Source organism: Homo sapiens, chromosome 17 (genome assembly GCF_000001405.40).
Source record: "Homo sapiens chromosome 17, GRCh38.p14 Primary Assembly".
NCBI classification, from domain to species: Eukaryota; Metazoa; Chordata; class Mammalia; order Primates; family Hominidae; genus Homo; species Homo sapiens.
Window position 1 is genome coordinate 81,310,331 of NC_000017.11, and position 25,897 is coordinate 81,336,227.

A 25,897-nucleotide genomic window follows, 5' to 3' on the forward strand; every position below is an offset into this window, starting at 1 on the left:
GGGGTAATTAAAGCTGGTGACAGCTGAGGAGGGATAGAGACAGGAACACAGGTGGGGTCCCAGGCCCCTCCGCTTGCTCCCCAGGCAGAGGGCTGGAGCGGCCCCCAGGAGAGTGCCACCTTCGTGGGGCAGGAAGAGAAGGTTGCAGGGGCACTGGGTGTCAGTGGACATTGAGGTCTAGGAGAGGCCAGCTCTCAGCTGCAAAGGGCAGGCAGAGTCACCATGTGCCGGGCCTGGCCGGGCCCTCCCAGTTCCCATCCAGACACCCAGACACCCAGACACCCAGACACTGGTCTCGTCCAGGCCATCACGTGGTCAGGAATGGTGTCTGCCTTTGATAGGTGAGGACCCGGGTGCTGTAGGATCTGCTGCTCTAAATGAAGGCAGGCGGTGCTGCCCCAGCGGGAGGACAGCAGCTCCAGGCCTGACAAGGCTCTAGGCCTCAGCTTCCTTATCTCTCCCGAGCCCAGGTTGACATCCCTTTCCCACCTTCCACAGCCAGAGGACTAGACAAGTGTCTTCACCGGAGCCTCGTTTCCTCATCTGAAATATAGCGCTAACCACCCCTCCCTCCCGTGGCTGTGGCAATAAATTAAATGAAGCCCACAGAGGACCTAGCACACAGTACGTGCTTAATCAATACAGAACCCCTCCCCCAGCACTGCCCGCCCTTCCCCTGGAAGCAGCCACGCTTACCTCCACCACCTCCTCTCCATGGTCATCAAACACTCGTGACAGGCCGGCCTCCCCCTGCTGAGACCCTGAGAGGTCCAGGCCTCTGCTCCTCGTCTCTGCCACGCCTGGTGTCATGAGGGTGAAACAGGCCCTTGGGGGACGTTCGGACTGGCTTCCTGTGATGGCCGCCAGCATTAGTAGCGTTGTTACTGCTGCCTGGACACACACAGACGCCTCACAGAGCAATGCAACATGTGGGTGAAGTTTTCAGATAAAATCGGAGATTTAATAGAATTCCCGCAGGGTGCTGAGCTCCAAACCCAGGCCACACATGGCACACGCAGGGCCTGTCAGGGCTGGGGCTGATGACCAGGGTCAAGGGGATCCCAGGGCCCTCCAGCTCTCCCCCAGCTCCTGATGTGGAGGGGAGGGAACTCCCGCTCACCCCCAGAGAGAAGGGAGTCCACACACCGCATCTGAGCTGGCGGTGGGCAGGGTACCCACCTCGGTGAGCAGCCTGGGGTGGGCCTGGGGTCAGGCTGAGGTCCCGGTGACAAAGGCTGGGGAGGTGGATGCAGACAGCCTCCACTTTCACCATGGCCTCCCTCCTCTGAGGCCAGGCCTGGGATGCTTCTGCCCCACAGCTCCGGTCCACCTGCCAGGCCTGTCCGTCCTTGGATGAGGGCAGGGAGAGGTGGGGTGGCCACTGGCAAGTAGAGACTTCAAAAGTGCACGGTGGCCCTTCCACGCCCTTTGCTTCTTAGCCCCCAACCCTCTGCCAGGCTTTCTCCCTTTTTCCCACGCCCCGCACAGACAGGTATCCTGCCCTCAGCATCTCACAGGGGTGAGTGGCAGCCAGGAGCAGCAGCAGATGCCTGTGGGGAGATGAGACGCCCTCAGCTCCCAGGCCCCGCTCCTGGGGAAAAACAGGGCCCCAGGAAGGTGCCCCAACCGTTCCTGGGGGCCCCAGCCCCGAACAGGGGGTCTTGAAAGGGAACTCTTGTGTGGTGAGTGCCCCCTGAGGGCTGAGCCACAAGGTCACCTTGATTTCTCAGCGGACGGAGGCTGAGCTGGCTAGGGTTCCAGGCTGGGTGTGGGAGGGTCACCCCAACAGGCGATGCCCGAGAGGTGTCCGGGCCTGGCTTTCCACGAGGAAGAACCAGTCCCCTGTGCCATCTGCAGGGCTTGCCACACAATCTGGGGACCCGGTGCAGGAGGAGAATTCCTGGCCACTTGTTTAGGAGGCAGGAAAAGGGCCGGGCGCGGTGGCTCACACCTGTAATCCCAGTGCTTTGAGAGGCCGAGGCGGGTGTATCAGGAGTTTGAGATCAGCCTGGCCAACATGGTGAAACCCCGTCTCTACTAAAAATACAAAAATTAACCGGGTGTGGTGGTGCACTTCTGTAGTCCCAGCTACTCGGGAGGCTGAGGCAGGAGAATCGCTTGAACCTGGGAGTCGGAAGTTGCAGTAAGCCAAGATCGCACCACTGCACTCCAGCCTGGGTGACAGAGCAAGACTCTGCCTCAAAAAACAACAACAAAAACCCGCAAGTTCAGAGGTAAAATGATTAAGAATTTCAGGACAGCCTTAGCCACAGGCCCCTCTGATGCCAGGCCCTGGGCAACTGCCCTCCTCACCACCCATGCAGCCGGTCCGTTTCTCGGTAAAGACTTTTCTAGAAGTGTCAGCTATGGGTCAAGGCTTGGGAGAGGGGCCAAGAGAAGACCTAGCGGATGGCAGGAAGAGGCACCTGCTGAGCTTTGGGAAGTTCCCTTAGGGCTGATGTGGGGGCTTCCCTGCTGGGCGGCAGACCACATAGCTGTGCGGGTTCTTCTTCAGCCAAGAATCATGCATGGCTCCTGCCACTGTGTGGGACGGAACCCCGTGACCAGGAGTGGGGTCTCCTGGCAGGCAGCACACCCCACGATGCCCCCCAGGAAGCCGAGTTTGTAACTCCTCCTGTTAAGGGAGCCCTGTGGTCAGGGCCAGGACCCTCCCTCCTCTTGAAGATGCCAGCAGAGCCCTGGCTTGCAAGAACTTGATGTGTGCGTTTGCCTGACCGGGAGTCAGGCGACTGGTGTGTCCTGGACACCTGCGAACCAGGCAGACGCTTCTTCACCGGGAGCTCCGGCCCCGGTGGGGCTGGGGCTGGGGCTGGGGCTGGCCTCCCACCTGTTTGGTAGCGGTAGCATCATCTCAGCCAGCACTCAAGTACGTGACAAAGTCATGCAGAGCTGGCAGGGGAGGCACAGGAAGACCCTGTGGTCCCGGGCTACCAGAATTCTGTTTGGGGGATATGGGGTCGCTCCTGGCAGAGGTGGGGGGCATGGGAAGCTGAGCTGTTTTCCCTCGAACGTCTGCTGAAAGTTTTCTGAACAGTTCCATACCTCGTTGTAAGATCAGAGCTTGCCAGCTGAAAATGAAGGACATTCACTGTTTCAGGAGGTGGCCGGGGTGGCTGCTGAGGCCTCCGACCTCCCTCCTGCAGAGGCCACAGGCTGAGTGGGTCCCCACATTGGCCCTGTCTGGCCCTGTCTGCACCGGTGATCTGAGGACCCTGCCACCGTCAGGAGAGAACTCTGAGTCCGAGAATCTAAAGTTGACTTAAGAGGTGAAAAACACGATGAGGAGGAAGAGATGGCAGTCACCTCCCTCTAATCCCTGCACCCCGGCCCCACAGCCCCTTCATCCTCACCACCCCGCAGGCTGCCAGCGAGAGGGAGGAGGGAACCAGGTGCAGCCCCCCTGCAAGAAAGCCAGACTGCCCCCAGGCAGGCCCTTCATGTCTTCGCCTTCTTATCTTCATCTCACAGAGGCAGCTGGGCTCAGCACAGTCCCCCCAAGGAGACCGAGGTGGGGACCCCTGGGGAGACGTCCTCGGGCCCTGCAGCAGGGTGGGGGGCCGGAGCCAGGCTGTGAACAAAGACCAGGTAAGGAGATAAATCAGCTGCCCGATCACATTTCCTGCCCTGAAAGCTCCTGTAAAACATGAGAGAAAATTGACCTGTCAGGGGAATAGATGGGCCCAGATAGTGGCCGCCCGCCCCGGGCCAGCTTCCCTCCACCCATCCCACCTGCACAGAGCGCCCCTGCCCGGCCTGGGCAACCCCAGAGGGAACCCAGGCCCGGGGAGAGGTGGCCCCCATCCAGGCCTCCTGTGGGGGCTCTGCTCCCAGCCCCCACCCTTTGCATGCCCCTGACAGACGAGGCCCAGCTGCTCAAGCCCATCAGGCTATAAAACGGATGGAGACCAGGGGCGGTGTCAGCAGACAGCTAGAGTACCTTTTAAAAAATGTAATCTCTTTTTATTTCCCTCCCCTGCCCTCCCTCCTCCCTCCAGACCATAACCTCCCCGCCACCCCTCCCCTCTTCCTGCGCAGCCCTGACCTTGGTGCACAGACCTTGGTGTGGGGTGGCCGGAGGCTTCAAGGACGCCCTCCTCACCTTGAGAAGCATCGGGCTCAGCCAAGCTAGCCTGTGGGGGCAGGGAGAGAGGGAAGCAGAGCTGATGTGGACAGGCTGTACCCCCCCCAAGGTGACCCCACCACCTGCAACTCCCCCAGCACCGGGGTGGCCTGGGAGTGCCAGACGGGGCCCCTGCCTGAGGAACAGGATGGGAGGCCTCTGCAGTCAGCTCCTCCACATGACGGAGGGGCACCTCTGGCCTCCCGGGGCCGCACAGAGCCAGGCTGGCCTCCAGCTCAAATGTTCCTCACCCAATCCCGCCGCAGAGCCTCCACTCTCTCTCAGCCCATCTTATGGCTGAGGCCAGGGAGGTCGGCAGGCTCGGGAGACTACCTGGTGTCCTGTTAGTGGACACCATGCAGGGCCTGGGACCCCAGCTCTGCCTGGTCCCCACGCCCAGGCCCTGCCAGCCCTACAGTAGTACCACGTTAGAGCCCCGGCCTGCAGGGGCCATGCTGTGACGGCGGGTCCTCAAGCGGAGGGCTCCCAGCTGCCGCCAGTCAGAGGCATCAGGCTGCCTCAGGGAAGTCCCTTCTCCAATGCCTCTTTGGCCGCACAGGGAGCCCCTGTGTGTCCCCCGCCCCCCAGGGTCTCTGCTGGACAAGAGGCTGCAGCAGCCGACCGGGGCCAAATGCATCTTCTTCATCCTCCCTCAGGCTCAGCTGGGAAGGAAGGTGCTGAGAGGAGGGGAGGTGGCCTCTGAGCTCACTCAGGCCTCCCCAGCCACCCAACACTGCCTCCAGGTCCCGTGGGCTGCCCAGCTGGCCCCAGGGGACAGCCGAGTCCATCCACTGGCACACGCCGGAGTCTGACCAGTAACCAGGCCTGACCAGCCGACCCTTCCCCTCCATCCCCTCCTGAACAATGGCTCTTTCAGCACATGGGCAAGAGGCCACTGGCCAGCAGGAGCAGGCAGATGACTGACAGGGCCAGAGGGAGTGGGAAAGAGGCTGGAGCTCCAGCCCAGGGGTGGCGGGCAGCCAGGGAGGGCAGCCACGCGCCATCCTTAGGGCTGGGGGCCGACAGAGGGTCCCTGAGGGTTGGGAGAGTAGGGAGGACCCAGGGCCTGGGGTGGTGACAGGGCACAGGTTGAGGAGCGTTGCGCAGGGCAGGGTTGGGTTGCACCCACGCTCTCCCCAGCACCTGGCAGCTCCCCGAGGCTGAGGCCTCTGGGGCCCCAGAGCTGCCCAGGTCTTCTCGGCTTCCCGGCCTCAGCCTCCCCTCACCCTGCCCTGCCCTGCCCCAGGCATCACTCCCTCTCCTGGGACCTCCCAGACCTTCCTCTGGGCTCCACACGTGGCAGGGACTCTCCTGCCCCAGGATCCTCCCCAGGCGTTGCCCGGAGTGAGGACTGTTCTAAGCAGCCTCACCATCCACCTGGGAGCACAGGCTGGGGTCCGGAGCCTCCCCTGAGGGTCTGGTGCGGGGGACAGTAAGAGTTGAGGGTATATCCTTGTCTCTTACGTGTGTGTACACATGTACACACACGTACTCACATGCACACCTCATGCACGTGGTCTTTTCCCACCTGCCCCCGTCAGTCTGCTGTCCCAGACCCTCACACTGGGGCTAAGGGTGTGCTTGGCTGCGAGGGGAAGCGGGGACTGTCTGGCAGCTGCATGGGCTCTGCCAGTCTGGGGCGCTGTGCGAGGGATGGAGGCTACAGGGGCTGGAGGACAGGCAAGTGGCAACGCGGAGCCATAGCCCTGCAGGAGCCGGCCGGAGGGGGTCCCTCTGCCTCGGCTGCCTTCTCCGTCCTCCCTCACTGCTGTTCCTACAGCCCCTGGCAGGGCCGGCGGCCTAGGGACCCTGAAGGGCAGGCCCGCAGGACTGGTCTTCACACTCTGCCCGGGGCAGCCCCACCCCCTGAGTCCTGTCCTGTGCAGTCCTCTTGCTGCGTTGGTGAGATGTCTCAGAAGGCAGAATGGGGCAGATTTGCTTTCTTCTGTTTTGTGGTTTAAGCTTCATCATGCCAGCCCTGGCTCCCTGGCCCTGAGCCCTGGAGGGGCCCTGGCTCCTGCCTCAGGGTCCCTCCAACCCCACTGCTCAGCCCAATTGTGAACTCTCTGTTCGTCCATCGCCGTTGGGTTTATAGTCTCTGGCCGCTGACCCTGGCCAGGTGGCCCTTGGCATTCTGTCCAGGACACCTGTCTGAGGGTCCCCTCCACACCCCAGCCCTTCCTCCACCTCCACTCTGCCTGAAATCCATGATATTAACTGCTCAGTCCCGTGGGGCCCAGGTGCAGACTTATGTAGGGCAGGCCTGGGCTCCCCAGGGCCCGGCTGACGGGGAAAAGCAGGTTACAGTCACCACGCCTCAGGGCTGGGCACATTTATAGAAGCAGCCAGGAGCTGCTCATGGACTCTGGGATTTCAAGGCCTCCCTGGCATGGGCAGGGTGATCCGCGCTTGAATAAGTGAGTCATGCCCAGTGTCACTTCAAAGCCCCGAGTTCCAGGGACTCACTCTATGCCTGCAAAGGGTGGTATGAAGAATAGGCATCAGGCCGGGCACGGTGGCTCACGCCTGTAATCCCAGCACTTTGGGAGGCTGAGGCAGGTGGATCACCTGAGGTCAAGAGTTCGAGACCAGCCTGGCCAACATGGTGAAATCCTGTCTCTACTAAAAATACAAAAATTAGCCAGGCATGGTGGTGGGCGCCTGTAGTCCCAGCTACTTGGGAGGCATGAGAATGGTTTGAACCCAGGAGGCGGAGGTTGCAGCGAGCTGAAACTGTGCTACTGCACTCCAGCCTGGGTGACAGAGTGAGACTCTGTCTCAAAAAAAAAGAAAAAAAAAAAGGATAGGCTTCAGACATACCCCTAGGTAGTCCCCCATTCTGATGTGTTTTCATACAACTTTATTTTTCCATATCTCCAAAAAATTAAGTTTTCTAACTCTAATGGAACCAAGAGAAACTCATGAAGCCAGCAAGGTTAGGTTCCCACATGTGGACTGGCATATTCGGGGCCACCCGTCTGGGGGTGTGGATAGAGTAGGGAACCATCTGGAGATAAATATGTCATGGGGACTTAGGAGCTTGGGAACAACCAAGTCCCTTGCTGTCCCTGGCTGGGCCCTGGTCTTGCCACACCTGGGAGATCCCATGGCTCCTCTTCCTCTCGCCCCTCAGGACTGGCTTGCCGGAGCCTGCCCCCTGCACGGGCCCTCGTGGGGGCTCCCTGCCTGCCTACGCCTGACCCCCATCCCCCGAGTGGAGCCGGACAGGGCTGCCTGCAGCTCTGTCTTCCGAAACACACCTCTCTCTCCCACAAAATAATTTAATGCAGTTTAATGCCTTGAAGTTGATGTAAAAATTACAGGCGTGTGCGGGTGGGGTGGGGTGGGGGCCTCGTAAGAAATTCTTTTGAAAATATAATTGAGTTAATGGAGCCATAACTATGTCTCATTTTGGGGGTAATTGGCCTGCTTTTTGTCACCCTGTCCATTTACATACTCCTGTTTTCTTTTTGCTATTGATTTTTTCTTTATAAAGTGGGCCACTTTACTGCAATTTTTAAAGCCCCGGTGATGAATAAAACCTCATCTTCCCACTCATTAAGACACAAGAATTAGCCGGGCTCAGGGCCCAGCCAGTCAATTTGTTTAACAATCCCAGGCTGGCCGTGTTTTGGTGGAGACCAGGGGCTGCCTGCCGCAAGAGGGGCTAGAGCCGCTGCCAGAAGGTGGCCCCAGGCGAGGGGTCCCCCTCAGGGGAGGAGTCTGCCGCCTCCGCCTGCCCCGGGACCTTGACCTTGGGACACCCCTCCCTCTCCCCATCTCCCTCCCTTGCTAAAGGCTTCAGCAGCCTTGGACCCCTCGGAGTTGGCCTCACTGCGGCTGTGATCCAGAGGCCCCACCCACCTGCCTCTCAATGCAGATCAAGGTCACACTTCCTATAGAAAATTTTTTTTTAATTATAAAATCCATGCACACACAAAGCAAATGAAGCCAATGGCACAATGAGATTTAAAGCAAAAAGTAGCAAACCCCTCCCCCGGCAGGCTCCAGAGAGACGTGTATGAATGGCTGGCTCCTTATTCCCCTCCCAGGCACTGTGCATGCGGAGAGGTCCATTCTACACGCATCAAATCCTCACACAGTTCGAATCCTGCCATACCTGCCACTCGCAACTTGGCGTTCCGTTTAATTTCATTTACTGTCACATGGACATCGTCCATAGTAGTACCGAGACCCACACGCCATGTTTCATGACTTTGTAGTATTTCTCTGCCTGTCCACTCTGTAGGGTATTTGGAGTCACCAGCTGCCTGAGGGCTCTAGGGGATTAAAGAGTTTCCCAGTGCCGGCCGGGCATGGTGGCGGGCGCCTGTAGTCCCAGCTACTCGGGAGGCTGAGGCAGGAGAATGGCGTGAACCCAGGAGGCGGAGCTTGCAGTGAGCCGAGATCGCGCCACTGCACTCCAGCCTGGGCGACAGAGACTCCGTCTCAAAAAAAAAAAAGAAAAGTTTCCCACGGCCTGGGGTTTTCAGTGCTAATACCGGGATCGCCCTGGGCAAACTGGGATGGCTGACAGCTTATATGTATTTGCCCAGTTGTACTGTTGGACATTTAGGTTGCTTCTAATTTTTCAACATAACAAAATGTCACTGCAAAGCACACCTCTGTTCATGTAGCTTTGTGACCTTATGCAAGTATATCTGGAAGATAAAATTCCTAGAAGAACAAATTACCAGGTGAAAGCCACGCAGATTTCAAATTTTGATTGATGTTGCCAAATGGCCCAGCAAATGCGTGCCAATGTGCACATCCCTCCTGCCCAGGGATGAGAACCTGCCTGTTTCCCTGCATCTATGGCAAAGCAGGATATTGTAAGTCATTTTGATCCTTGTCATCTGATAGGTGACAAATAGAATGTTGGATTTTAATTTTAATCGGCTTTATTGAGATATACTTTATTTTTTAATTTTTAAATTTATTTTTATTTTTATTTTTTGACACGGAGTCTCGCTCTGTCACCCAGGCTGGAGTGCAATGGCATAACCTCGGCTCACTGCAACTTTTGCCTCCCGGGTTCAAGCAATTCTCCCTGCCTCAGCCTCCTGAGTAGCTGGGATTACAAGTGCCTACCACCATGCCCAGCTAATTTGTTGTATTTTTAGTAGAGATGGGGTTTTGCCATGTTGGCCAGGCTGATCTCCAACTCCTGACCTCAGGTAATCCACCCACCCCAGGCTCCAAAAATGCTGGATGACAGGCGTGAGCCACTGTGCCCAGCCAAGATGACACTTTAGATACAAGAAAATGCATCCATTTTAAGTGTACAGTTGGAAGAGTTTTGACGAATGTTTACATTTGTAGAACCACCACCACAATCAAAACACAGAACACTAGCTATTTGGGAGGCTGAGCAGGGAGAATCACTTGAGACCAGGAGTTTGAGGCTGCAGTGAGCTGTGATCGCACCATTGCACTCCAGCCTGGGTGACGGAGCAAGATCCCACCTCTAAAAAAAAATTAAAAAAAAAAAAGACACAGAACATACCCAGCACCTCAGAAAGTCAGAAAGTTCCTCCAGGCTCCTTTTCAATCTCCTACTGAGTTTCAGTCCCAGGCAACCATGGGTCTACTTTCTGTCACTATAGGTTCGTTTTGCCCTTTCTAGAATTTCATAGAAATGGAGTCAGGCAGCACACTCTGGCTTCATTGGCTCAGCACTGCGATTTGAGATTCATCCGTGCCATTTCATGTACCGACAGTTCTACCTCCCAGCTGCCAAGCAGCCCCCGCAGTCTGGGTGCCCCCCGTGTGGCAGCCCCCGCAGTCTGGGTGCCCGGCGTGTGGCAGCCCCCGCAGTCTGGGTGCCCCGCGTGTGGCAGCCCCCGCAGTCTGGGAGCCCCGCGTGTGGCAGCCCCCGCAGTCTGGGTGCCCCGCGTGTGGCAGCCCCCGCAGTCTGGGTGCCCCGCGTGTGGCAGCCCCCGCAGTCTGGGTGCCCCGCATGTGCACCCTCACCTGCTGGTGGGCATTTGGCTTGTTTCTTCCAGTTCATAACATAGAGCTGTTATGAACACTTGTGTATGAGGCCTTGTGTGAATCGTGTTTTCACTTTGGGGTAAACACCCAGGAGTGGAGTGGCTGGGTCACACGGTAGGTGGATGTTTAATTTTTTCTCTCACTGCCAAACTGCCTTCCAAAGTGGTTGCACCATTTACGTTCCCACCACAGTATGAGAGTTCCAGTTCCTCTACCTCCTCACTAGAACCCGACAGTGTCTGCCCTACTGATGTTAGTTACACTGGAAGGGGTGCGGTGGTATCTCACTGTGATTCTAATTTGCATTTCCCTGATCAGTGTGTTGTGTTTTGACGTTTGCTAAGAGTGATCTCTTTTGGCAGGGTGCGTTGGCTCACACCTGTAATTCCAGCTCTTTGGGAGGCCGAGGAGGGCGGATCACCTGAGGTCAGGAGTTTGAGACCAGCCTGACCAACATGGTGAAACCCCATCTCGACTAACAATACAAAAAAGTTAGCTGGGCATGGTGGCATGCACCTGTAATCCCAGCTACTCAGGAGGCTGAGGCAGGAGAATCCCTTGAACCCGGGAAGCGGAGGTTGCTGTGAGCCGAGATCGCACCATTGCACTCCAGCCTGGGCGACAGAGCAAGACTCTGTCTCAAAAAATAAAAATAAAATAAAGGATGATGTCTTTATCATGCAGAAATGTCAAACATTTTGTGTAATACACTTATTTCTGGTTATGGCTTTTGGGTTTCATCACAGTTTCCTTTAGTACCCCAGTGACGGCCAGGCGCGGTGGCTCACGCCTGTAATCCCAGCACTTTGGGAGGCCGAGGCAGGCGGATCACGGGGTCAGGAGATCGAGACCATCCTGGCTAACATGGTGAAACGTCGTCTCTACTAAAAATACAAAAAAAAAAATTAGCCGGACGTGGTGGCGGGTGCCTGTAGTCCCAGCTACTCGGGAGGCTGAGGCAGGAGAATGGCGTGAACCTGGGAGGCGGAGCTTGCAGTGAGCCAAGATCGCGCCACTGCACTCCAGCCTGGGCGACAGAGGGAGACTCCGTGTCAGGAAAAAAAAAAAAATACCCCAGTAACAATGGCTTAAGTCCCCCATTTACTTTTAGGAGTTTCCAGTGCGATGGAGCCAGCGCCCAGGCTCATGACCCCCACCCCAGCTTTCTTCACTCTGGCCACATGGCTTGTCTTCAGAGCTTTGTGGAAAGCTGTGCAGACAGGCACCTCTGTCCACCTGGGGCACCGATGCCATGCCAGGGCCTGTCCTGCAGCTACTGGGGTCACAGCCCTCCAGGAGTCTGGGCAGAAGACAGTGTTTATGCTGCACCTGAAACCGCTTTGCCTGTTTCTCACTCACAGAGCTCCCCTCCGGTCAAAAGCTCTGGAACCCAGGGCATGAGCCCACATGCAGGAAGCTAGGGCCCAAAGGGGAGAGAGCTGGCTGCGGGGAGAGGCCAAGGCCGCCCAGCAGGGAGACAGAGCGACGTCTCACCCTGACCAGTGAGCCCAAGCTACTTGTCCCACCGGGGCTCAGGAGACCCCATTCGTTGTCCTTCTTCCTGGGTGCAGGGCTGCCTTTCCCAGCACTCCCTGTGGCCCGGTGCCTAAGTTATGGACAACGGATTGCAAACCAGTGTGGTGGGAAAGGGGACCACAGGAGCCATCTTGGAGGCTGCTTGAGCACCCGGCCAGCCTGGACCCCCAGGAACTGACAAAGGTGAGGGAAGGGCACCAGCAAAGCCAGGACACCATGGGCTTCTTGGAAATGATTTGATATTTGATGGTTCCAAACAGCATCAAAGTAATCAATGTGGGAGCAGCTCAGACCTGTGCCGAGGGGGTGGGCACCAGTCGGCACTCCCCACCACCCTTGCTGGGACCTCTCCCCGCAGCCTGGCTCCCGGTGCCCACCCGCCTTCTGGAGGCCCCAGTCCCGCCTCGCTTCTGCCCGTCGCTCTCACCACAACCCTCCCCGCCCCGGTGTCTCACTCATGCCTCACACCTGGACTCTCCAGTGGCGCACACCTTAGAGGGTCTCACATGGGAAGCCCCATGGTGGGCCCAGCCGGGTTCAGCACGTGGGCCTCCTGGGAGCCGCCCCACACCTGCGCTTCTCAGGGGCGCCCGCTGTGGGTCCTGCTGTGGGTCTGCAGACCACACTTTGAGAGCAGGCTCCCCGGGTGGTGGCCGACGCCTGTCACCTGTGGCCCCGCTTAACCCACCCTTCACCGGCACTGAGTCCCCCCGCACAGACCCCGGGATCCAACCCCCACTATGCGGAAAGGGAAGCTGCACTTGGGGTGACAGGAGCAGCAGGTCAGGGGCCCTGCACCAGCTGCTGCCACCGGCCCCTCCACCTCATCCTAGCTGCCCATGGAGGGACTCCCCCGAATCCGGCCCTGACCCAGCCCCTGACCCTGACCCTGACCCCCCATCCTCACCCGCATCCCCATCCCCACTGGACGCCCCAAAGATCACAGCGCCCTCTGCTGACACCGGAGTCCCAATGCTGAGAAGGCTGATTGGCCCAGCTCTGTCAAACCCAGTCACGTGATCAGAGCAGGGCCTCCTCTGATTGGCCATCCTGGGGGCACTGTGAGTGGCAGCCTGCCAGGCCTTGCTTTTGGGTGGGAGCCGGGTTCCTTCAGCCCCTGCACGCTAGGTGCAAGCCACGACTCCCGCTGCAAGGGATTCTGGGTGGTGCTGGTGTCCGGGCCTCGGGGGAGCCCTGGACGGAGCCCTCGGTGGTTGAGCTGGGCCCAGAACACCTGGCCTTGGCTGTCCCCTCTCACTCTGGGGTCACCGGGTCAGGCTCTCCCTCCTACAGGATGCAGTGGACGCAGAGGGGGCTGTTGGCTGAGGAGGGGGTACTTGAGGAACTCTTCTTTGGGAGTAGAGACAGAGACGTGCTGAGACTGGCTTGGGGGTCGTCCATCCTCAAAATCCCACATGGGCCCCCCAGGTCGCCCCCTCCCCACCTGCCCTGGGAAATCTCCCAGCAGCTGTTTTCTGGAACAACTGACGGCTGAGGTCAGCTGGAGGTCAGAAGGAGGGTTTGGAGCCCAGGTGGGGGTGAGGATGGGGAGGCCCCAGGAGGGGTGGGGGCGGCCCGGCCATCCGGGAGCCACAAAGGGCAGAGAGAGTGCAGCGCCGCGGCCAGCAGCCAACGGGGCCGCCAGCAATGTGGTTTCAATCTAATTGTCCCAAAATATTGTTACAACACAAACCACGTGCCATCCACTCACCTGCAACTAATCAGCAGCAAAGCTACCGAATAAATCGGTTCCACACCCTGGGGCCGGGCAGCCCAGCACGTGAACCCGGGTGCCCGGGCTCGGACAGAGGCCAGGCGGCTTTCTGCCGGGGCCTGTTTCCTGTTGGGGCAAGAATTGTCAGGACAAGTGTGGGTACGACAGGGGGCTCCTCCTCTCTTTGTGACGCCCCACTTCACGCTGGAGGCAGAGCCAGAAGGAACAGTTCCTCATGTCACAGCTGGCCCAGGCCCGAGAGGGTCAGCCAGGGAGTGGGGGGCCGCGCCGGGGGTCTGTCCAGGGTCTGACTGTCCAGGGTCTGACAGCCCAGGGAGTCCTCAGTGTCCTCTCTCCACCCTGATCATTCTGTCCTGAGATGGTGACCCCGAGGGTCTTCACCCATGCAGGAACATTTGCACGTCCACCCACAGTGACGGTAAGACCGGCTTCAAGGCCACCGAGGCCTTTGGTGATTATGATTTGAGTGATTCCTCCAACACTCAGAAGAGCTAAGGAGGAAATGGAAGCTGACTGAAGGCCCTGGAGCCTGGACCCCAGGCCTGGTGCTGGCAGGTGGGGCCTCCCACACTCGGGTCCCTGCCCGGCAGCCTGTACACCGAAGCCCAGCCGGGGTGGAAACAGGCCCTCCTCAGGGAGCCCGCAGCCGGGCCCAGGCCTCCAGGGACAGCAGACATTCCACCAGTAAGTGTGGGGGCAGCAGGCAGCCCTGACTTCTCCCGGAGCCTGGGGGACCCCATGGCGGCCTTTCAGCTTGGCCTTGTGGGTAAATGGGGTGCCCACGGGCAGGAAAGATGGCATAACACTGGTTCCACACCCACATGGGCTTCACATATGGTCACAGATAAATTCCTTGTGAGTTTGAGGATGGCCCAGCATCTCCCAGCATCTGCCAGAAGGAAGGGGCCTCATCAGCTGAGGTCGCAAGTGTGTGCTGGTGCCTACAACCTCAGCACAGTCGGGGGCGTGTCGGTGGCCGCCGCTGTGGAGGGGAAGCCAGTCCCAGGCTTTGGAGGGTGCACAGGCCCCTGCCGCCCTTCCCTACCTGGTGCCTGGGCCACCTGTTTAGTGAGTCTCTCTGAAATCCCAGCACCCACTAGCCACTCAGCAGTAGTGACTCGAGTTCCCGCACCTGTGCCTGGTCCTGCAGCAGTGGTGGGGAGAGTGATCTGTGAGTGCCCTGAGGCTGCCATGACAAGTGGCCACCAACCCAGTAGCTTCAAGCAGCAGACCTTTATTGCCTCACAGGGCCACAGGCAGAAGCCCACAGTCAGGATGGCACATAGCTGGTTCCTTCTGGAGGCTCGGAGGGAGATCTGCTCCTGACTGTCTCAGCTCCTGGGGGCGGCTGGTAGTTCTTGGTGATCACTGGCTTGCGGCGGCGTCACTCTGATCTCTGCTGTCCTCGAGAGACCTTCCTCCCTGATGTCTCTCCCCTCTCTTCTGAGGACACATGTCATTGGATTTAGGGCCTACAGTAATCCAGGATGATCTCAACTCGAGATCCTTAAGTGAGGATCAGAGATGTGAAGCAGCCTGCCCCAAGGAGGCTTAGCTGGGAAACAGCCGAAGAGTAAAACCTGAAAGGCCACAACAGGTGCCTCATGACAGCGGTCAGATGCTTTGTGGCATGGCCAGGGACCCGTGCTCCAACCAGGAGTCGCCACAGTCTGAGACTCCCCTCTACAGCGGCCAGCCATGCTGCCCACCCGACTGTGCAGAGGTGGTAGGCACCAGGCACACCCCTGCAACCTCGGCTGATAAGGCCCCTGCCTTCTGGGGGACCCTGAGATGCTGGGGAGACTGGAGACTCTGGGCCATCCCCAAACCACTGCTGTCACTTGAGGCTTAGCATTGCAATGCCTGGGCATCCCTGAGTGCCACCGTGAGCCTGTGTGTCTCGTGACACGTGTGCAGATGTTATTCCCGGCACAGATACTGAAGGGCGATGCGTGCACTCAGCAGCCAGGAGGGTTGCAGGGCCAGTGGTGAGAGGACCAGGTTCTGGCTCAGGCTCACACTCTGAGGCCCCCAAAACCCAAACCACGAACCAGGCAAGGCTTCATTCTCAGCCACAGGGGAGGCCACGCCCACCAGCACCTGCCCGACGCCGGGGTCCACCTCCAACAGGTTTCTGGCGGTGGGAAAAAGTGGAAGATGCAGGCCAGAGGAAGGATGCTGCCTGACCGACCACAGCCAGCTCTGCCTAGCAGCCCCGAGAGCAGGCAGAGGAGGGAGCAGGAAGAGACCACAGCTGATCCCAGCCTTCCTGGCCCTGACGATTTCACCTTCCCCATCCAACCTTTGAATGAGAAGCAAAGTGGGCCAGGCACCATGGCTCATGCCTGTAATCCCAGCGCTTTGGGAGGCTGAGGTGCGAAGATTGCTCGAGCCCAGGAGTTTGAGACCAGCCTGGGCAACACAGCAAGACTCCCGTCTCTACTAAAAATAAAAACATTAGCTATGTGTGGTGACACATGCCTGTGGTCCCAGCTACTTGGGAGGCTGAGATGGGAGGATCACTTGAGCCTGGCAGTTTGAGGCTACAGTGAGCCACGATTGTGCCATTGTACTCCAGCTTGAGCAACAGAGCAAGACTCTGTCTTTTAAAAAGAAAAAAGGCAAAGTACAGAGGCATTGCCTGTTATCCCTGCTGCCAACGGGTCTGGCCCTCAGAAGGGATGGGTTGCCAGATGACGCAGGTGGGCCCCTCCTGGCCTTGCACAGGGTCCCCCCTCCTTTTTTTTTTTTTTTTGAGACAGAGTCTCACTCTGTCACCCAGGCTAGAGTGCAGTGGTGTGATCTCGGCTCATTGCAACCTCTGCCTCCCGGGTTCAAGCGATTCTCCTGCCTCAGCCTCCCGAGTAGCTGGGACTACAGGCGTGCACCACCACACCCAGCTAATTTTTGTATTTTTAGTAGATACAAGCCTCAGGCTTCAGGCCTCTAGAGCCACAAGAAAACGAATTTCTGTTGTGGTTTTTTTGTTTTTTTGGAGAGTCTCACTCTGTCACCCAGGCTGGAGTGCAATGGTGCAATCTCGGCTCACCACAACTTCTGCTTCCCAGGTTCAAGCGATTCTCCTGCCTCAGCCTCCCAAGCAGCTGGGATTACAGGCATGCGCCACCACCCCCAGCTAATTTTTTGTATTTCTAGTAGAGGCGGGGTTTCACCATGTTGGTGAAATTGGTCTCGAACTCCTGACCTCAGGTGATCCACCTGCCTCAGCCTCCCAAAGTGCTGGGATTATAGGCATGAGCCACCTCGCCCGGCCCCAACGGACCCATCTTCAAGTGTGTAATTCAATGGCATCAACTCCATTCACGATGTTGTGCAACTGTCACCTCTATTAATAGTTCCAGAACATTTCATCATCCCAAACAGAAACTCTGTACTCATTAAGCAATATCCCTCCCACCCTCCGCCCCCCCGCCAGTCCCTGGTGACCCCAAATCTTCTGTCTGTCTTTGTGAATGGCCTGTTCTAGAAGTTGCACAGAAGTGGAAGCACACACCACGTCCCTTTCTGTCTGGAATTCCTCAGTTAGCATAACGTCCCTGAGGTCCATCCACGCAGTAGCGGGTGTCAGATTTCCTTCCTTTTCCAGGCTGAACCCTGTTCCACACGTGGCTAGACCACAACTTGTGTGTCTGTCCACTCATGGGTCGACGGCACTTGGGTGCTTCCACCTCCTGCTGGCCGTGACCAGGGCTGCTGTGGACTCTGGCGCTCTCGTCTGCACCAGCTGCTGCCTTCAGTTCTCTGGGGTCTGTAGCCGGAGTGGCATCGTTGAGTCACGTGGGAATCCTGTGCTCTGCTTTTTTTCTTTTCTTTTCTTTTCTTTTTTCTTTTCTTCTTTTCTTGAGACAGAGTCTTGCTCTCTCACCCAGGCTGGAGTGCAGTGGTGCGATCTTGGCTCCCTGCAACCTCCACCTCCCGGGTTCAAGCGATTCTCCTGCCTCAGCCTCCCAAGTAGCTGGGATTACAGGTGTTCACCACCACGCCTGGCTAACTTTTGTCTTTTTAGTGGAGATGGGGTTTCACCATGTTGGCCAGGCTGGTCTCAAACTTCTGACCTCAGGTGATCCGCCCACCTTGACCTCCCAAAGTGCTGGCGTTACAGGCGTGAGCCACCGCACCCGGCCTATGCTCCACTTTTTGAGAGGCCAACAAACCCCACTTGCTTTTTCAATCCAGATTTTAACCTTTGAGGGAAAAGAAAGATTTTTGTATCTATTCCTGGGCCGGGGTAGGGGGGCTGTTGGGTGAGGAACACCCAAGAACGGCTCAGGTGAGAGGGGTGGCCTCTAAGACCACATGGCCTGGACACAGCCTGGCAGGCAGACCGAAGCAGCCGGGGCTGCCTGGAGGGCCTCAGTTCTGCTCCTCCCCAGCTGCAGGATCTGAGCAGGAGGCCTCCTCACTCTGCGCCTCAGTTTCCTCATCTTTATCTGGGGACGGAGCAGCCTCTACCTCTCAGAGCTAGTTGCGATCATGGTGGCAGCTGAGGCCCAGCCCTGGTATGCAGTGAGGGTTCAACTGAGCCAGCCCCCACTCGCCACAGGCTTGCCTGGGGAAGACAGGTGCATCAGCCCCGGGGTCCATTTCGCAGTGGGGCTGATCCCAGCCCACCCTCACCCGCCCGGGAGCCTCGCCCTTCACCCCATGCATCTTCTCCCCTGAATCACCCCCAGGGTCTCCAGGGCAGGAGCAGGGCTGGCAAGGGCAGGGCTCACAGCCCCATAGGGAGGACACAGTGCCCGCAAGAGGGACTGGGCAAGAGGTGGACAGGCAGGGGGTGGGGGCATTCTGTGTGCCCCAGAGCCTGAGTTCGCAGGCTCTCAGCAGCCCGTGCTGGGCAGCAGTGTGGGCGTCTCTCCCGCAGGGCACCCTCTGCACTTTCCTGCAGACCTGCAGCAGCCCTTTCCTGAGGGACACCTGGCTCCGGGCCCAGGGTGGGGGCGGGGCCTCGCGTGTCTCCCCCTTGATTTGTAAGAGTCCAGGGCTGTCGGCCATGGCCACACTGAGCACCCCTGGGAGCCAAGGCAGCTTAAGGACAAGGTGTGTATGAGGACGGCGGGGCCCAGGGAGGAGAGGCTAGCCCAGGGCTACCCGGGTCCCCGGAGTAGGGGCAGGGGACTTGAAAATGAGCCCCCAAGGGGCTCTGATGGGGGCAATTCCAGGAGAGGCGTGGGCAGGTGTGGGGCTGGAGAGAGGCCTGTCCTTTTTCCCTTGCCCTGCACACTGTCTGCAGGGTGGCAGACCCAGGCTGCCTGGCGAGGCTGCTTCTGGAGGCCTGAGGAAGGCTGGGCTGAGGACTCCGCCTCTCCTCAAAGCCACAGCCTCCCTGCTCTGGGGCTACATGTCGGGAAAATCCCTGCCTGGGTTACCCCAGCTGGGGACTCAAGCTCTCTTTGGACCCTACAGAAAGAGCTGGCCAGCCCCCAGGCCAGAAGGGCCGTCCGTGACCCACAGATGGCCCCAACACACTGTAAAACACGCATGATTTATTTTAGTGTGTGTTAGAAAAATAAAGCCAACACATCAAGCCTGCAATTTCGCAGATACTAACACTTCGGACCAGGAAAAAAGAAGCCCATGACATGGCACAGCGCTGTGGAGCGAGCGAGATCTGGGATGCGTAGGCCTGGACGGCTGAGGCTTGGAAACCCCTCCCCTCCCCAAACTTTCCCACCATGCAGGGGCCCAGCAGGCCCTCAGCCCACTCACCCCGCCAGAGGAGGGAGGAGGGAGGAGGGTCCGGGCCAGGTGGGAGCTTCTCCCCGGAGGCCTGAGGCAGCTTCCCTCCTCTCCCAGGAAGGGGCTGGCCCAGGCCCAGCTAGGATGCTCCCAGCCCAGCTCCTACCCGCCGGGTCTTTCCCGTTTGTCAGGCAGGCCGGCAGGCTGGGCTGGTGACTCATGACTGGCTGGGCCATCTGCCCTGCACCCCTGCCCCGGGCGAAGTGAGAAACCTGACCGGGCTCCAGCACAGACAGGAAACCCCACCCCAGGGCCTGCAGTGGGACAGGTGTGGCCGCCCTCCACCCCCACACAGGCCTCGGGGAGGGTGTCTGAGGCCGGCCTGGCCCTCTCTGCAGCACTGAAACACCAGCTGCCTCTCCCCAGCCCGGAACTGGGGATCCAGTGTCCTCCGCACTGACCCCAGGCTCTGCTCTCCCTGGGAAGCACCCGCTTTGACAGTGGGGCCAAGGACTGGGGTTCCCACCCTCCTCTGCCCAGTGGACTTTGTGGCCCCAGGCAGGTGGCATCAGCTCTCTGGGCCTAAGCTTCTCATCTCTGCAGGGTTCATCAGCTCAACAAGCATTTGTGGGTTCCTGAGACCTGAAGGCTCCACTCCCCCACCTAAGCACACAACAGTCCAGGCACCACCCACATCTCCCTCTTACCTGGAGCAGAGGGGCGGGTGTTCGGAGCCTTGGGGCCCAGGGTCATTTGCACTGGAGGGGGCCAGGAACGCTCCCAGGAGTGTGGCAGTCCCTTCCTAGGGGGCCCCTCCTGGAGCAGCTGCCTTGAGAGCCCAGCCTACAGCAGAGCCTGGTGGGGTGGCCGGGCTACTGCTACCTGGCTTCACTGCTTTCTTCTGCCATTCCTCCCAGGCTACCCAGGAGGACGAGAGGGGCAGGGTACTGGCGGCAGCAAGAGAGAACCCGCCCAGGAGGGCCCAGCACGGGAACTCCAGCCTCCAGAGCCAGCAGAGCCACGGGAACAGGAGTTCCTCCTCACAGAGGAGGCGCTGTTGGAGGGCCAGGAGCAAACTCCCAGCAGAGCAAAATGCAGAGGTGACCAGCCCAGGGCACACCAGCCACTGAAAAACCCAACAGTGGGGGCTGCCGTGGGGATCCAGGGTTGGGGGACTCTCAGACGGCCCCCCAGGCTTGTCCCCATGCGTATTCTTTGAGCTGATGGGGACGCAGTGTTCACAGTCCTGACAGGAGGCAGGCGTGACCCCAGTCGGGGAGTGGACTTGGCCCTCTTCACACCCCCAGGGCAGAAAGCCCTGTTCAGAGGTACCAGGGAGCAGGCACAGGCCAGGGTCCGAATTCGTAACAAGCATCCGGGACTCCACATGACGCAGGTCTGAGAATCGATCCCGGGTTCCAGCCCAGCCATCATTTTCAGAGAATACGGGCCCTGTCCCGAGCCGCCAGCCATTGCCAATGGCTGCCCGGAGGAAGGGAGGAAGGGGTGCCCCCAGCTTGTGGAACCAACAAGGGCTTAATGGTAGGGCACGCCCAGGGGCAGACGCCAAGAAAGGAGAGGAGGGGGCGGGGGCTCCGGCCAGGGAAGCCGTGTCCTCTGCACCAGGCAGAACAGGGGGCTGGGCCGCCCTCAGCCTGGATCTGGCCAGGGCTGGGATGCCAGCTCTGAGAACAGGGCCCAGCCCTCACCTGCTTGGTTTGCCTCTTGCCAGGGGAAGGGGCTCAGGAAGGTTTCTGAGCTGCCCCATGCCCCTGCCTGGAGTTCCTGACCCTCGGGGGAAGCTGAGGCTACAGAGAGCACGAAGTGCAAAAGGCCTGGTGGTTGGACCCAGAGCCCCTGTCCCTGGGTCCCCGCTCCTCCCCACCACCCCGTCCCAGCTCTCCCACGCTCCCACGAGGCCACATCATCTTCTGCTCCTGCTGAGTTCCCCTTCACGCATATGAAAAGCAAATTACAGGAGGGAGAAGGCAAACCCGGGGTGAACGGGGGCCTCCTGGGACTCCTTGGACCCCCGGGAGAGCCTGTGAGGGCTTCTATGGGCCGACTGGGATCTCAGGAGCAAAATAGGGGCCCCTAGCCCACAGCGGAGGGCGACTCTAATCAGCAGAGATCGCCCAGCATGCCTTATCCTCAGCAGCTCAGGGCCACCTGTGGGGCAGGGGGAGGGGGCCTGGCCAGCTGGGTCGGCCGCCCCCGGCAAAGCCAGGGGACGCCAGGAGCGGAGCTGTGTGGTGCAGAGCAACTGTGTCCCAGGGGAGGGGGGGTCTGTCTCCGCTCCTCCCAGCTGCAGGCCCTGGGCAGCCGCAACCTCTCAGAGCCTGCCTGCCCCTCTCCTGAGGTCTGGATTTTGCCAGCACAGAGCAGGGACCTCAGCAATATGCCCAGCCTGGCGCAGGCCCAGGGCAGGCCCTCTATCCGCAGGGCATCCTCTGGTCTACAAGTTCTGTGACGACGTGGCTGGCACCAGGGTCTGAGGGCTTTGATGCTGGGGAACGTCCTTGCGCCTCTGCAGTAGATGTGAAAGTCTGTGGAGCCCGGGGACCTGGAGCAGGTGGCCTGGGTGGGGCTGCTGCCTTCTGGGCCAGGACCAGATTCCACTCCCTGGCTGGACAGCCCTGGGCACAGCGTTTAAACACCCAACACTTCAACTCTGCTCTGTGAAACGGGGATGATTCTAACAGTGCTGGATCACGGCATGGTTGGGAGGCTTGGGTGAGGTCATGTGTTCCATGATCCTGTCCACACGAAGGTCATGCAGCCTTGGGGGGCACTGGAGCGGCAGGTGTGGTTTTGGGGACCTGCCACGGGCCACAGCCCTAGACCAAGCCGGACCATCGGGACTCTTTTCCTGGAATTTGAATGCTGAGCCGAGGGACACTGGGCTTGTGCTGGGGCCACTCCCGAGCCGCTGCTGTTGGGGCCTGAACAGCGCCTTCCCCCTGCCCTCCCTGCTGCAAGCTCCAACCAAATACCTGCTCCCGGCTTCAGTTAGTCAGAGTCCACTTCTGGCACCTGCAGTCAAATTTATTGATTGATTGATTTGAGAGAGTCTTGCTCTGTTGCCCAGGCTGCAGGGCAGTGGTGAGAATAAGGCTCACTGCAGCTTCGACCTCCTGGACTCAAGCGATCCTCGGCTTCCCAAGTAGCTGGGTCTACAGGCACACACCACCACGCCTGGCTAATTTTTGTGTTTTTTGCAGAGATGGGGTCTCACTATGTTGTCCAGCCTGGGCTCAAGCAATCCTCCTGCCCTGGCTTCCCAAAGTGCTAGAATTACAGGCATGAACCACCATGCCAGCCGAAAGTGTCTCTGCACATCTGCACAAATAAAATGTATTTCTGTACGTACACTGATTTGTACCCAGAAGCCCTTTTAAAAAATATTGTGTCACCTTGGCTTCCTCTCTTACTTCTTGCTCCCCCTTTATGTAAAACTGCTGAATCTTTTGAGTGTCAGTTGCAGACACCTTGACACTTCACCCTAAATACTGTAGCATCAAATGTCTAAGAACACCTGCCTGCCTCCAGCAGCACGCCTGGGGAAACGCAGTGCCACACAGAACGATGCACGGCCCCGTGGCCCCGCCTGCTGTGTGTAAACTTCCCAGTCAGCTCCACGGCCCGCCAGAGCAGTCCCACCCCAAGCCTCGTTCAGGATCCTATCCAGGGTCTCCCGTTAGCCTCCTCTCATCTATAACACGCACCGCACCCTTTTGCCTTTTTAAAAACATTGCCCTTTTCTGAGCATCCGGAGAGGTGATTCCGAGAATGCCTCCGGATCCGACTCCCCTGTGCTCAGTGCAGGTCAAGCGTCCCAGGCAGGAGCATCACTCAGGGGCTGCTGAGCCACCCGAGGGAAGGCAAGCCTGGGAGAGGCAGTCCCGCAGCCGTTGTCCTGCCACTCGGGGGCCTCTGATGGCCTCTCCTCTGGTGCCATCTCCCACCCCAGAGCTGGACAGCAGGCCTGGGGAGTGGCCTCTCAGATCTGTCCCTTTGGTGGTCTTGGGGCTCCTACGGGGGCACCTTCCTCTTGTTTCTCCCCTAAGCAGGCAGGAGGTGGCTGGCGGAGAGCAGAGGGGACCCCTGATGGCTAGAAGCGAGGGGGGCAGTGCAGAGAGAGCACAGCTCGAGATGGAGAACTCTCCCTGGGCGTCTGGCCACTGCCTGACCCTCAAACCAAGGGGAGTGTCCGAGAGTCAGGCAGGAGGGCCAGGTGCAGAGGTGGGCCAGGTGCAGAGGCAGGCCAGGGAGGCATCCGGACGGGAACCAGCCCCCCTTCTCCTGAGAAAAGGCTCACGGAGATGGCAAGCGTCCCAGCCGAGGCCCCTTGGGGCATGGGGCGGCCCTGTGGTCCAGTTGGGTACAGGAGGAAGGTGGGACCGGCCCTCAATCCCCCCCGGCAGCCAGGGGTGCTGGGAGACAGAGGGTGAGGCATCACCGAATCCCAGGGTGGACTCCTATCGGGGTGGGTGGAGGAGAGGGAACCCTTCCTCTGGCAGGGCCCTCTCATCTTGTCTTGGAGCCTCCGCATGGGTGCGGGATCGCCACTTCGCAGCGGGCTCTGGCCATCAGGCAGTCCGTGGTTTGGAGCTGTCAGGACCCGAGGAGGTGCCCCAGCACGTGGCAACAGCAGGGGGCCGTCACCTCCTCAGGCAGGGGGTGAGGAGAGAAGGTGCTGCTGGAACTGGTGAGAGGGGCCTTGAGCATGGGGGCCCGAGGTGAACGTGCACGCCCTCCTCCCTCCCCCCTGCCCTCAGGCTTCCCTCGGGCCCCAGTGCCCAGAAGCCACCATTAGGCACAGGCACAGGGTCAGCCTCCAGGGTCTGAGCAGGGTGGGGACCTGGGCCATAGCCCCTGCCTCTCCAGCCCAGCAGCCACTCCAGCCTGGCCCCTTCACTCAGATCAATAAAAAGTGTAGGAATGAATTCCACTTCGGTGAAAGCATCAATGAAGAGCAGATTCCCAAGCCCCAGGATTGGGTCCACGGCCAACTCTGCAGAGCTTAGGGCCCCCAGTGGGCCGGCTCTGGCACCTGTTAGGACCCGCCCAGGGGAAGGGGAGGAGCTGTGGGCCTCCTGCTGTCCACCCTGGCTCCCAGGTCACCCTGCAAGGCCAGCACCGCCCTTCTGATCCCCCCAGGGCTGTGGCCTGGGAATAGCCACCCCCAGCCTGGGACAGAGCAGGTAAGGCCCGGGAGGAGGGGACCGCTGACCTTCCCCAGGAGTTTGGGAACTGCTCACGGCTTGTCTCAGTTCTCCAGCTGGCTGTGGACCTAGGATGGACGAGAACAAGGAGGGAGCCAGCCAGGGGTCAGGGAGGCTGGGGACAGGGTGGAGCAGGAGCCCAGTGTGACACGAGAGACCTGGAGCTGGAGAAGCAGTGCCAGCGGCAGGCTCAGCAGGACTTGCTGAACCCCAAGGGTAGGGTGCGGACAGGGAGGCCACCCCGCTCGGGAGACAGCAGCCCCCCTCTGCCATCCACGCCCTCACTCCACATCCCACAGGACCCCTGCTGGAATAGCTGTCTCTGCAAAATGCCCGTAAGTCCACAGAAACCGCCAAAGCTTTCCTGAGACTGGGGACATTATCTGCAGCAATGGGGACCACATCTGGTGTACCGAGGTCTCCAGTGCTCGAGCGGGGAGGCACGTGAGAGCAGAGGGGATGGGAGCCCTGAGTTCCTGAGCTAATGCTACAAAGTCAGCACTGGACTAGCACATCAGGTGGATCTAACCAGGCCCCAGCGAGGCTCTGCAGAACGTGGAAGGGGTCAGAACTCACTCTTCCCAGCAATGTCCTAGAGGCAGTGGCCCCGCTGCCCTGGCCTGATGCGGGCTCCAGAGCTGTGGGATGCAGTGTGAGCCCTTGGCCCTGAGAAGCTGTTCTCCCCAGTCTGCCTCGTCTGGGAAGCCAGGTCAGCTACCTGGCTGAAGGCCATGGGCACTATGCTGGGCAGGAGCAGGGATCTGCCATGTGCCCTGCGGGATGATGATTTTCATTAATCTGCAAAACATTGTGTCTTAGATAAGGGTAGGCTTCTTAGTCAGACAAACCTAGCTCCAATCCTGCTGTGTGGCCTTGGGTAAATTACTGACCCTCTCTGTGCCTCATCTTTAATGTGATTTCCATGGCAGGGCAGTCATGGGGACGCCAAGTGCTAATGCTATAAACAGACCAAGTACAGGTGCTGGCCTGTGCCAACTTTCTCTTCCTTCTCCTCTCCCTTCCTACCCCATGTCCCTGTGGCCAAGGGACAAGGTGGTTGGCAGTCTCCATGAGGTGCCTGGGGCTGGCGCTCTTGGCCAGCATAAGCCCACCAGGCTCTGGGAAGGGTCAGCCCTGCTCAGAGTGGGCAGATGGGTAGGCATGGCCGAGGGCACGAGGTGGTCACAGGTAAGCTGCCGGCAGCAAAGGGCAGCCTCTCACCTGGCCTTTGGGCAGAGAAGCCCCGCCCAGCTGTGGCAGTGAGCTGGGAGCGCATCTGTGGCCCTGCCCTGCTCTTTCCCCTAATGTGAGCTTCACCCCCGCCCTCCTTGAGCATGCCCAGCTCTTCCAGACTCACGCAGTCACATTTCACAAGTAGAGGAATGCTGGGGGGCCGGGGCCGGGCCAGGCTGCACCCAGGGCCACCCACATGCCCCCACCCATGAGAAGCAGCAGGAAGTCCCCTCCCCCTCCTCCACCCCTGTCTGTCCACCTTCAGGGTTTGGCTCTGATCTCTGGCTCTCCAGGGGAAATTTCCTTGTGGAGTTAGTGGAGTCAACTTTGCTG

At 59.3% G+C, this 25,897-nt stretch overlaps 1 long non-coding RNA gene across 1 annotated transcript, besides 6 other annotated features; it reads right to left on the reverse strand.

Moving 5' to 3' along the window:
• Nucleotides 1–934: 934 nt before the first annotated feature.
• TMEM105 (TMEM105 long non-coding RNA) lies at nt 935–20,344 on the reverse strand. The gene is made up of 3 exons (NR_165247.1): nt 19,814–20,344; nt 4,078–4,151; nt 935–3,655 (listed from the first exon to the last, which is right to left on the reverse strand). It is a non-coding gene; the product is annotated as a TMEM105 long non-coding RNA (long non-coding RNA).
• Nucleotides 7,858–8,396: an enhancer, noted in NCBI's record as "H3K4me1 hESC enhancer chr17:79291988-79292526 (GRCh37/hg19 assembly coordinates)". NCBI's record gives its function as "activates a minimal SCP1, AML or CMV promoter by ChIP-STARR-seq in naive H9 embryonic stem cells {active_cell/tissue: H9 hESC(naive)}" and the evidence as "EXISTENCE:reporter gene assay evidence [ECO:0000049][PMID:30033119]".
• Nucleotides 18,113–18,684: an enhancer, noted in NCBI's record as "H3K27ac-H3K4me1 hESC enhancer chr17:79302243-79302814 (GRCh37/hg19 assembly coordinates)". NCBI's record gives its function as "activates a minimal SCP1, AML or CMV promoter by ChIP-STARR-seq in primed H9 embryonic stem cells {active_cell/tissue: H9 hESC(primed)}" and the evidence as "EXISTENCE:reporter gene assay evidence [ECO:0000049][PMID:30033119]".
• Nucleotides 18,685–19,256: an enhancer, noted in NCBI's record as "H3K27ac-H3K4me1 hESC enhancer chr17:79302815-79303386 (GRCh37/hg19 assembly coordinates)". NCBI's record gives its function as "activates a minimal SCP1, AML or CMV promoter by ChIP-STARR-seq in naive H9 embryonic stem cells {active_cell/tissue: H9 hESC(naive)}" and the evidence as "EXISTENCE:reporter gene assay evidence [ECO:0000049][PMID:30033119]".
• Nucleotides 19,257–19,826: an enhancer, noted in NCBI's record as "H3K27ac-H3K4me1 hESC enhancer chr17:79303387-79303956 (GRCh37/hg19 assembly coordinates)". NCBI's record gives its function as "activates a minimal SCP1, AML or CMV promoter by ChIP-STARR-seq in primed H9 embryonic stem cells {active_cell/tissue: H9 hESC(primed)}" and the evidence as "EXISTENCE:reporter gene assay evidence [ECO:0000049][PMID:30033119]".
• Nucleotides 20,970–21,540: an enhancer, noted in NCBI's record as "H3K4me1 hESC enhancer chr17:79305100-79305670 (GRCh37/hg19 assembly coordinates)". NCBI's record gives its function as "activates a minimal SCP1, AML or CMV promoter by ChIP-STARR-seq in primed H9 embryonic stem cells {active_cell/tissue: H9 hESC(primed)}" and the evidence as "EXISTENCE:reporter gene assay evidence [ECO:0000049][PMID:30033119]".
• Nucleotides 21,541–22,111: an enhancer, noted in NCBI's record as "H3K4me1 hESC enhancer chr17:79305671-79306241 (GRCh37/hg19 assembly coordinates)". NCBI's record gives its function as "activates a minimal SCP1, AML or CMV promoter by ChIP-STARR-seq in primed H9 embryonic stem cells {active_cell/tissue: H9 hESC(primed)}" and the evidence as "EXISTENCE:reporter gene assay evidence [ECO:0000049][PMID:30033119]".